The sequence below is a fragment of the Homo sapiens genome, chromosome 14 (genome assembly GCF_000001405.40).
Source record: "Homo sapiens chromosome 14, GRCh38.p14 Primary Assembly".
Taxonomy (NCBI): domain Eukaryota; kingdom Metazoa; phylum Chordata; class Mammalia; order Primates; family Hominidae; genus Homo; species Homo sapiens.
Window position 1 is genome coordinate 35,667,060 of NC_000014.9, and position 12,172 is coordinate 35,679,231.

At 37.2% G+C, this 12,172-nt stretch overlaps 1 protein-coding gene across 24 annotated transcripts in view; it reads right to left on the bottom strand.

The window, feature by feature from the left end:
- Positions 1 to 12,172, bottom strand: part of RALGAPA1 (Ral GTPase activating protein catalytic subunit alpha 1) — a 270,940-nt gene that overhangs the window by 128,704 nt on the left and 130,064 nt on the right. For 23 of the 24 annotated variants that reach the window (XR_007063998.1, NM_194301.4, NM_001346246.2 and 20 more), the window contains 5 exons: positions 10,891 to 11,043; positions 7,457 to 7,650; positions 7,121 to 7,219; positions 5,808 to 5,963; positions 4,330 to 4,458 (listed from right to left, as the gene is read on the bottom strand). Coding sequence is in view for 23 of the 24 variants with exons in the window: in NM_194301.4 (NP_919277.2) it covers positions 4,330 to 4,458; positions 5,808 to 5,963; positions 7,121 to 7,219; positions 7,457 to 7,650; positions 10,891 to 11,043 (731 nt within the window). In the remaining variant the exon portion in view is untranslated. Of the gene's footprint in view, positions 1 to 4,329; positions 4,459 to 5,807; positions 5,964 to 7,120; positions 7,220 to 7,456; positions 7,651 to 10,890; positions 11,044 to 12,172 lie in introns of those variants that run through there. The other variant, XM_006720104.5, reaches the window with a different exon arrangement.

Genomic DNA, 12,172 nt, shown 5'->3' on the forward strand with positions numbered 1-12,172 from the left:
TAATGATCTCAAAGGATGGATTCAATCATTTCTCTAACTACTTTAAAAAAACTTAACTGTGGCCAGGCGCGGTGGCTCATGCCGGTAATTCCAGCACTTTGGGAGGCTGAGGCGGGCGGATCACGAGATCAACAGTTCGAGACCATCCTGGCCAACATGGTAAAACCCCAACTCTAGTAAAAATACAAAAATTAACTGGGCATGGTGGCGCACCTGTAGTCCCAGCTACTCGGGAGGCTGAGGCAGGAGAATCGCTTGAACCCGGGAGGCGGAAGTTACAGTGAGCTGAGATCGTGCCACTGAACTCCAGTCTAGCGACAGAGCGAGACTCCATCTCAAACAACAACAACAACAACAAAACTTAACTGTTTATCTAATATAGCATTATAATCTGATTCCTGGCATTCAAGGCCTTTCCAAAACGTAGTCTAAAGCAGTGCTTCTCAATCTTTAATGATTTTGCCACTTACTTGTGATCTAGTTAAAATGCAGATTCTGATTCAGTAAGTAGGTCCAGGATGGGGTCTGAGATTCTGCATTACTAATAAGCACCCAGATCATGCCAAAAGTTTCTGGTGTGCAGATCACACTTTGGGTAGCAAAGATCTAAAGTACCTTTCTAAGGGGACCTTCACACACTGTTGGTGGGAATGTAAATTAGTATAGCTGCTATGGAGAACAGTAAGGAGGTTCCTCGAAAAATCAAAAATAGAACTTCCATATGATCCAGCAATTCCACAATTGGATATACATACAAAGGAAAGGAAATCAAGATATCAAAAAGATACCTGCACTCTTGTGTTTACCACACACTATTCACAACAGCCAAGACATGGACTCAACCTACATGCCCATCAACAAATGAATGGATAAAGAAAATGTGGTACTTATACACAATGAAACATTAGCCATGAAAAAGAACAAAATCCTGTCATCTGCAGCAACATGGGTAGAACTGGAGAACATTATGTTAACTGAAATAAGCCAAGCACAGAAAGACAAATGCCACATGTTCTCTTTCATATGTGGGAGCTAAAGTGGATTTCATGAAGATAATAGATTGGTGGTTACCAGAGGCCCGGAAGCAGGGAAAGGAGGAAAGAAGGGGGAAAAAAATAATACAAATGTATTTAAAATGTAAGGCTGGGCATGGTGGCTCACGCCTGTAATCCTAGGACTTTGGGAGGCTGAGGTGGGCAGATCACCTAAGGTCAGGAGTTCAAGACCAGCCTGGCCAAAATGGTGAAACCTCGTCTCTGCCAAAAATACAAAAATTAGCCTGGCATGATGGCGCGGGCCTGTAGCCCCAGCTATTCGGGAGGCTGAGGCAAAAGAATCACTTGAACCTGGGAGGCAGAGATTGCAGTGAGCCAAGATCGCATTACTGCACTCCAGTCCGAGTGACAGAGACAGATTTTGTCTCAAAAAAAAAAAAAATGTACATTAAAAAATGATAGCTCAGGTGCTCATGACTGTAATCCCAGCACCTTACAAGGCCAAGGCAGGGAGGATTACTTGAGCCCAGGAATTCAAGACCAGCCTGGGCAACATGGTGAGACCCTGTTTCTACAAAAAGTTAAAAACATTACCAGATATGGTGCCTGGGACTCTAGGTGTGTGCCTATAGTCTCAGCTACTTGGGATCTGTTGTGGGAGGATTGCTTAAGCCCAGGAGGTAAAGGCTGCAGTGAGCCTCGATTGTGCCACTGCACTCCAATCTGTGCTACAGAGCAAGACCCTGATATCTCAAAAACAAAACAAAACAAAACAAAATAAAAATTGAAATGATAAAAATGGTAAATTAGATATGTATACTTTATCTCAATGATTTTTTTTTTAAATAAAGTACCTTTCAATTCTTTTTGCCTATTACACTCTTACAGATTAACTAGCTCCTAAACAAAATGGATTATTTGTCATTCCTTGAACACATCTCACTCATGCCTGTTTACCTCTGCCTGGAACACTGTCTCTCATCTCCATTTTTACTTAAACAAATACTACTAATCTTTCAGGGACATATTTATGTATATTTTCCATGAAACCTCCATGATATCCCTAAACAAATAAGATCTCTCCATTCTCTGAATCACCAAATAATTTTAACAAACTCTTACATTGCACATATAACGTGTCACATAGTGTTCCAACCATGTTACAAATCCTTATAAAATAATCCTATACGGCAGGTTATCTTTCTTTATTTTTTTTTGAGACTGAGTTTCGCTCTTGTTGCCCAGGCTGGAGTGCAATGGTGCGATCTCGGCTCACTGCAAACTCTGCCTCCTGGGTTCAAGCGATTCTCCTGTGTCAGCCTCCCCAGTAGCTGGGATTACAGGCATGTGCCACCAGGCCCAGCTAATTTTGTATTTTTAGTAGAGATGGGGTTTCTCCATGTTGGTCAGACTAGTCTTGAACTCCTGACCTCAGGTGATCCACCCGCCTCAGCCTCCCAAAGTGCTGGGAGTACAGGTGTGAACCACCATGCCTGGCCATCTTTATTTTATAGATGAAGAAACTGAGACACAGAGACATTCAGTAACTTGCCCAAGGTCACACAGCTAATAAGTGGCAGAGCCAGGATTTGAACCCAAGCAGGTCAGCTCTAGACAATGCTTTTAACTACTATGATGTGCTCCTCCTATTGGTATCTATTTGATGCCCAACATTCTGTAGTTGTTAATATACTTCTCCAAATCCCCAGCAGTAGACATTATGTTGCTTGAGCACAAAGTATTATCCAGTTTATTCTATATCCCTCTGTATTCCACCTACAAAAACATTCTGTACGCAAGGGGAGGGGGAAGTTTAATAACCACAAAAGGGCTCAGTACAATGTTGAGTAGTACTAGGTGCTAAATGAACACATATTCAATAACTGACCAAGCATGGTGCTATGCTAGGCTCCGGAGATACCAAGATGAGTAAGACATGATTACTGTTCTCAGGGAACTGGAAAAACAGGGTTATACAGCTATAAATACCGCTGCTGCTTTGTCTGTTTACACTAGGTGACTGTATCCACTTTCATGGCTTTAAATATCATCTATAAGCTAATGTTGCCCAGCTTTTATTTTCAGTCCTGACATGTCCCTTGAGTATATGCAATTATTCTTCTGACATCTTCCTCATGGATGTCTAATACACATCTTACTAGGCCCCAAATAGAACTCCTTCTATTCACTATTGATCTTTCACTCTTGCAGCTAAACAATGAAATAAGGTATGTTAAACTGCTCTTCAAGTTATACAGTACTAGACAAGTATGTTTTTCTCACAAAAACTCTTAGTTTTTTACAGTAGACTTCCAGTTAATTATTATTTTTCATTTACACTTTGCTCCAGAGTGATCCTTCCAAAATATGAATTTGATCATGTCACTCCTTGCTTAAAATCCTTCAATGGTTACTCATTCCTTCCTTAGGCTTCTATCTAATGTTTTCAGCATTATTGCCTTCCTCTCTAGCTCACCTCTGCCATTTATGGATGAACATATTCCATTTATACTGATTTACTTAGCATTGTCTCACAGTTCCACGACCATATGAAAAAATCTTCACATGCAATTTGAGAGTTTACTCCTGGCTGGGCACGGTGGCTCACGCCTGTAATCCCAGCACTTTGGGAGGCTGAGGCGGGCAGATCACAAGGTCAGGAGTTCGAGACCAGCCTGACCAACATGGTGAAACCCCGTCACTACTAAAAATAGAAAAATTAGCTGGGTGTGGTGGTGCCTGCCTGTAATCCCAGCTATTGAAGAGGCTGAGGCAGGAGAATCACTTGGACCTGTGAGGCGGAGGCTGCAGTGAGCCAAGATCGCACCACTGCACTCCAGCCTGGGCGACAGAGTAAGACTTCCATCTCAAAAAAAAAAAAAGAGAGAGAGAGAGTTTGCTCCTAGGACATATGTCCTTCTATGGTGGATGCCTTACCAAGTTTCTTTTTTTTAATTTTTAAATATATAATTGTTAAAGACAATATATATTCAGGGTGTACAACACGATGATTTGATACACACATACACTGTGTAATGATGACTCACCATTGTTTCTTACCTCTTGCTATAGCCCATTGCTCTTTCTTTGCTTTCTTCCCTCCGTTTCTTTAGATTTCCTCAACTTTAAATCCTGTTCTGCTTATCAGATTTTACTGATTTTAGTGCTTTCTTATATTTCAGATTTCTTGCTTACTTTTTTTAATGTAGGAGAAGCAATCAATTCCAATTAAATTGCAAAATTTCCTGATTATCAGCTTGTTATGTTTTATCAACTTTGTTAGTTGAATCCTGGCTAAAGTTTGTTATATGATAAGGAACAGGAAATGACTTACATTGAGAAAAGCTGAAGAAGCCACTCTACCAGCTGCTACAATAAAATCCATAATAAGCATTGTGGCACCAGGCAAACCAAGTGAAAAAAATTGAGGTGAGCAGTGTTTGATGATTGTATTGACAATATCCTTAGAATAAGGAAAGAAGGAAAAAAGAATATCACATATGTAATCTTGAGTATCAGCTAATCAGTATCATTAAAAATAGATAACATATGAAATAATAAAAAAGGTAATTACTGTACATTGGCTAACTGGAAAGACTAATTTCAATTCTTCCAAATAATCCATGCTTAATATTATATTCTATCAATGGAAAGTAAACTGAAAATACATTCATTTAACTGGCATAAATAACAGCATTTTTTTCACACTAGAGATTAAGGAAGGCTCTTTGCTTCACAAGGTTAAAAGTACAAGGCCCACACAATGTAAAACTAAACTGCATAGCAGTTTTCTCCTGTCACCTAGTTGCTTCTGTGCAATAACTCTCATTTCTGAATCCACATGACCCGTTACGTGACAATTGGAAAGATTCTCTTTTTAAAATAAACTGAAGTCCTTTAATGATAGGTATCAAGCCTCAGAAATCTAGACCTAGGCACTTTTAAGGGAATGTTCCTAACTTCATTATTCATTTACTTTGCCTTTGGAATTTACTATGAGGATACAGTGTATTCAGTTGTATTATTCATTACAACTTATCTTAAACAAAAGCTCTCTTCTTCTAATAATTAAGAGAGTCATTTTACTTGAGACATGTTTACAAGGTAGCACACTAATTTTAAATTAATGCAAAAATTTTACATTTTTCAGAAAGATATTATCTTTTAATATTAATATACTCTGTAAATGACCTACGAGTTCATCATATTAGGATAAACATATTTACATTATTCTGACTTGCAACCTCCTACACTTGTTAGTTTATGGCCAATATCAAGACTCCCAAAGTAATTCTAAGGTTATATTTATGACTATTTAATGATTATACCTCATATAATTATCAAATCAATGTAACTGTCACTATGCCAATATAATTGACAGTAATAAGAAAATGTGATGTGCTGATTCTTAGATTGAAAAAAACCTGACTGTTGCATAACTAGATAAACGAATCCATATGCCTCAAGTATCAGTCACAAAATGCCTAAGAGTAGGTACATTAGAATATTATTAAAGAAAGGTATCAGCCTAAGCAAAGGATGGTTTAATTGCTTCAAAAAGTGAACTGGTTGGTACAACATTAAAGATGGAGAACTACTCAAGTCAATCCTCTACCTACAATAATAGCTTGATTTTCAACCATGTTTCAAGAACAAATAAGGTCATAAAATTGAAGTAAATTGTATATAAATCACTAAATAAGGGGGAGAGTTTAACTTCTAGACCTTAAAAAGCAAGAGTTAAACAGAATCAAGAATCAAAGATAATATGATATAAACTACTTCTTAGATGATACATATATATATAGTTACCTGGTCAATATGAAGTAATCCACAATGCATTATATTGTAGAAATGTGTTAGAAAATCTCTATTTGGAGAAACATCTTGTCTTCTTTTCATTGTATTACAAATAAGTTTATATGCATGTAATTTACCTTGTTTATATTTATCAGTCAACATGGTTGCCTAAAATTAAAAGATCAGTTTTAATGTTCAAAAAGAAATACTATTTGCTAAATAACTTAAGCAACTGAATATAGCAAACGATGTATATAATCTCATTTATTTCCATGTTGGCCCAATTTCTTTAATGAACTAAAATTCAGGATTAGTGAAATTATCATCATCCAAAATGATACAATGTAGGTATAACCATAAACTGTTCCACTTAGGAAAATGTACCAAACATATCAATACTTAAAATAATTAAATCTTTTGGCTGGGCACAGTGGCTTAAGCCTGTAATCCCAGCACTTTGGAAGACCAAGGCAGAAGGGTCTCTTGAGGCCAGGAGTTTGAGACCAGCCTGGGCAACATAGAGAAACTCTGTCTTTACAAAAAAATAAAAAATTAGCCAGGCACGGTGGCACACGCCTGTAGTAGTCTCAGCTACTTGGAAGGCTGAAGTGGGAGGATTGCTTGAGCCCAGGAGTTCAAGGCTGCAGTGAGCTGTGATCATGCCACTGCACTCCAAGTCTGGGTGACTGAGTGAGGCCCTGTCTTTTAAAAAACAAACAAAAAAGAATTAAAATTTTTTTTTTGAGACGGAGTTTCGCTCTCATCACACAGGCTGGAGTGCAATGGCGCCATCTCAGCTCACTGCAACCTCCGCCTCCTATGTTCAAGCGATTCTCCTGCCTCAGCCTCTCGAGTAGCTGGGATTACAGGTGCCCACCACCATGCCCAGCTAATTTTTTGTATTTTTAGTAGAGACAGGGTTTCACCATGTTGGCCAGGCTGGTCTCAAACTCCTGACCTCATGTGATCCACCCGGCTCAGCCTCCCAAAGTGCTGCGATTACAGGTGTGAGTCACCTCACCCGGTCACAACTTTTAATACACAGCATATTCTGTGATACAACTCAAAGTTTATACTTCAGTTAAATACAATACAGACATACCTCTCTATATTCACTTTTGTTTTATGAAATAATCAAAAGCAATAAATCCCGAGTAATTTTAGTATGCACATTCTCTTCTCTATATAATGCCTAATGACTTCCTAAGGATACTGGTTAAAAACTAAGTGCTCTAGAAGTCTATATAATAGCCAAAATCTCTATAAAAAGTTTAAGATTTAGTAAATGAGAAGTTTTAAACTAATATTTTATATATTAAGCTTACCTTAAAAAGCCAAGGTGTAAGAATTCTCAGTGGAGGAATTAAAACTGGTGGAGAAGGGGAGGTCAGGTTATCAGTTGAAATGCCAAGGTTATCTCTAATCTGTAATTTTCAAATAAAAAGCAACAAACCTAAGAAAACTGTTATCTCTTCCAGTTTACCTTAAACTGAATTTCAAATCCAGTTTCTACACTTACTATTTAATTACAATTAAGTGACTTTGCCATGCAGGGTACCAGTTTATAGTCAAAAAGGGTGTCACAAATGTTTTCTAAGGCTTCTTCTATTTTTAAATATTTTTATTTTCTTCTCCACTTATATCCGCTATTTCTTTTTTACCTTAGCTAGATTCTGCCAAAGTTCACAGAGGTAATCAAAAACTTGAGCATGTATTTCAGGATCCATGATTGAATTTACATCTCCCAAAATGCCTAGCATTCTTCGCCACATTACAGTAGCAACATCAGCATGCCATCCAGTCAGAGTACCTCCTGCCATCACACTACAACATTCTGATGGAAATTCACTAATTTCTATAGAAAAAAATATATAGTGTCAGCCATTTTTCAGTGAACTGAACATAAAACCCCCCAAGAAACCAAGCTAAATTAACAATCTTAAATATCTACAGAAATGAATAAAAGAAATGTCAACATACATTATTTTTTCCCGATAAGGTCAAAACCTCACTTATTATTATGAGATAATAATAAGGAATTATTGTAAGCATTATGTTAACTAGCTATTCAATAGTGATTCTATGTAACTACTACTCACTCTGCAGATAGAGAAATTTCTATCTATGCAGATAGAGAAATCTGTTTGATAAAAACATCAAATTTATAAGCACATACTCTCACTTTTATCTAATAGCAACTTCAGGTTATATCATCAAATTAATGGAAAACCTCAGGCTAAAGGCAGATGGTGTAGGAAGTCTTCCTAAGCCTTTTCTTTGTAGCTACATCCCAGACCAGCATTAAGAGTTAGCATAATGGCATGAAAAATAAACTTTTTGAGATGGAGTCTTGCACTCTCTCCCAGGCTGGAGTGCAATGGCGTGATCTTGACTTACTGCAACCTCTGTCTGCTGGGTTCACGCAATTCTCCTGCCTCAGCCTCCCAAGTAGCTGGGATTACAGGCTCACACCACCACATCCGGCTAATTTTTTTGTATTTTTAGTTTAAACAGGGTTTCACTATGTTGGCCAGACTGGTCTCAAACTCCTGACCTCATGATCCGCCCACCTTGGCCTCCCAAAGTGTCGGGATTACAGGCGTGAGCCACCGCACCCGACCGAAAAATAAACATTTTAACTAAAATTTAAACATAATCAAAATTACCATAATTGTATTTTGCCTACGAATACTGGCAAGATTATAAGAAACATAGGTAATCTTAGTTCTAGTCTCTTTCTGCTACTAATTATGTGTTATAAAAGTTATTTAATAACCTCTCTAAGGATACATGTCCTAATCTGTAAAATAGATGGTTTTGCTAGATATCATTATAGGTTGCCTCCAGCTTTAAAAAAAAATCCATTATTCTACTCAATGTATATAATGGAAAAGGCTATAGAAAATAATTAAAAAGACAATAAAGATATCTATGCATCTAAAGAACTTTGGGAACTAAAAATTTTGTAGACTGAAAGAACCATAAAGTTATGATTTCTCACACTTGAAAACATTCCAACATATTGAGAATTTATAATCACTTCTTAGTACATGTACATTCTTTACTCCTAATGGTTAACTTTTTTCTCTTTACATATAAAGTATATAACTGACTGTATTATTAAAAAGGTACTAGTCTTTCTCCATTACAAGAAAAAAAAAAGGTTTCTTGTGTAAAGCCACTAAAACAAACAAAACACACTGAAGTGTTAACCATTATTGCTAATGCCTCCCTACTCCAGAGCACCTTCAAAATACAATGATAAATCAGCCGATTTGCCTCTAACTTACCCTTTTCAAAGCTAACAAAATTTTAAATGATTAAAAAGCAAGCAACAATGTGTGGTCTTTGATTAAATTCTTTTTTTTTTTTTTGAGACAGTCTCACTCTGTTACCCAGGTTGGAGTACAGTGGCAGCACGACCTCAGTTCACTGCAACCTCCACATCCCAGGTTTAAGTAATTTTCCTGCCTCAGCCTACCGAGTAGCTGGGATGACAGGCGTGTGCCACCATGATCAGCTAATTTTTGTATTTTTAGTAGAGACAGGGTTTCACCATGTTGACCAGACTGGTCTCGAACTCCTGACCTCAGGTGATCCACCTGCCTTTGCCTCCCAAAGTGCTGGGATGACAGGCGTGAGCCACGGTGCCCAGCCTGATTAAATTCTTTATTGGATTGCTGACGGTGTGGGGTAGCTATAAAGGGCATTATTGGGACAATTGAGGACTTACGACTATAGACTAAAATAACAGCAATGTATCTATGTTAAATATCATGAATATGGCCATTATATTGTGGTTACGCAGAAAACATACACTTATTAGGACATATCCACTGACATGTTTAGGTCTGAAGGATCTGATATTTGCAATTTCCTCTTACATGCCTCAGCAAAAATAAAAGGTTAGGGAGACATGTGGGAAGGGCAGGCTATTTTGTGCATATATGTGCTGTGTGTAAATATAGACAAAGTGGCAAAATATTAATTGATGAATTTATATAAAGGGTTTATGTGCATTCATTTTACTAGCCTTGAAACACTTCTATAACTGAAGTTTTTTTCCAAATGTTGGGGAAATAACTGTAAACAAATAAACAACTGCAGATCAAAGGAGAAAAAGAAAAGGTCAGAAATAATCCACAAACCAGAAAATTAGGGCTATATAATTACAAGGCAATTGCAAGTTAACGAATGGGTCCCTTGGGCCGGGTGTGGTGGCTCACACCCGTAATCTTGGGAGGCCGAGGCAGGCGGGTCACTTGAGCTCAGAAGCTTAAGACCAGCCTGGGCAACATGGTGAAACCTCACCTCTACAGTTAGTTTTAAAATAAACGGGTTTCTTAAAAGAAGTTTAGAAGTTATATAGTTTTAAATTTCTTCCTTTCGTCAGAGAATAAATGTGCTACCTTATCAATGAAAACTAGCTTTTCATTCATTGTAAATATCTCATTAACTGTGTCTTTGACCAATTTATGGCATATTTGCATATGCCATAAATGTGCATATTTGTCTGATGTTTGTTACATTATACAAAATCTAGCAAAAATAACTTTAAAAAAAACTTGGCAGTTACTTAGGTTTCCCAAGTCACTTTTTAACATTTACTTGAAAATATTCATTTGGACCTCTACTTTTAAATTAAATTTAGTTGACAAATTTGCTGAATCAAAATAAAAAAAATGGTTTGATAAACTGTTTCACTGAAAGCTTGATTAACAAGTGATAATGTTACTACGTTCTCCTGTGAGTTACTAGGTTCTTTAGGTATAAAACTAAGAATAAGGATGCCAAATTATGTATTTCCTGTTTTAGGAAACACTACCAATATCAATAAATGATAATACAATACTTGAAAATAATGCAATAACTAATTTGAGGACTCTAATCAACTATAATAAAATGAATAAAACTCAGACAACAAATATCTTTAAGAACAAGAAAAAAGTTACATTAACAAATTTCCAAAGGACTTAGAAAAGTCCAAAATATTTACAATAATCATATATAATCAAATGTAAGATGCCTTATTTATGATCTCCTGACACTGACGCCCTAAAAGAAAAAAGGTAAATATCTAATTTTGAAATATTGCCTAGATCATCTGGTGTCTGAAGAACAGAGTGGTGGAGCTTCTCGTCGAGCTGCAGATCCTTCTGTTCCATGTGATCTATATTCAATGTAGAAGGGGAAGGAGTCTGTGACCTGGAGCCCAGAGGTGAGTGGACTGGGGAAGCACTTTCTGAACCTGTAAATATAATTTCATAAAATTACCATAAAGAGTATTCAATATCCTACCTAAGATGTAATGCTTAACACCCTAAATAAAAGAAATTTTAAACACCAAAAGATAAAACCAGTTATAAACTGGCCAGGGAGGTCAAGAAAATCATAATATTATACAAGCTTTTATATCTAGGAGTCTCCTCTCATGTCTACCATGGGACTATTAATAGTATAGAATCAAAACTGGATGTACCAAATGACAGGAGCCATTAGTGAAACTAAGAATATCTACTCCCATTTCTGGCCCAGCTATAGAAACTCTAGTACCTACTGTCATTCTATTTCACTTAAATCAGACTTGGGGCAATTTAAGAACTGAGGCACTTGCTCACTGCTGCTCTATATGCAACTATCAATGCTTGGTTTACAGTGGTTCCCAGCCTTCAGTCTCTCCCACATCCTGACTTCCCCCTCCCAATCCATTCTCCATAAGTCAGCAAAAAGATCTAAAAATCTAATTTGATCCTGTCACTTCCTCATTTAAAATCCTTCAGTGGCCCCTCACTGGCCTCAGCATAAGCCCTAACTTCCTAGTATGGTTCTCAAGTCTCTCTATAACTTTCTTGCCTCCCCACAACCCACCTAGAACTTCTATGTCTAGTCATAGAAAGTAAACTACTTGTATTTATTAGAGTATTATTGCATCATACCTCTGGCTTTTTCCTTTGCATGGAGCCCTAATCCTCTTTTCGGCCTGGTTAACTCCTATTTATTTTCCAGGTCTCTGCTTCCTTGAGAAGCCTACTCCTGATTCTGCCAAGTATGATTACAGAGTCTCTGCTAGATGCTCTCACTGAACCCTGCACCTCTCTATTATACCACTTATCACACTGACTTGAAACTGCCCATTCAATTTTAAATATTCCCCAGCAGAGTATAAACTTTGTAAGAACAGAAATTCTGTTATATACTGTAGTAGTGCTAGTGCCTGGGTATAGTACCTGGTGCATAGCAGGTACTTTTGTTAACTTAAATAAAGTATAGCACAAATTAATGCTGTATTGAACAACTTGTGGTGGTTATAATATAGTGCCGCTACTACCAAGCAAGTTGTTAAAACAGTAGGTCTTTTTATTTTAAGCTTCTTTGTA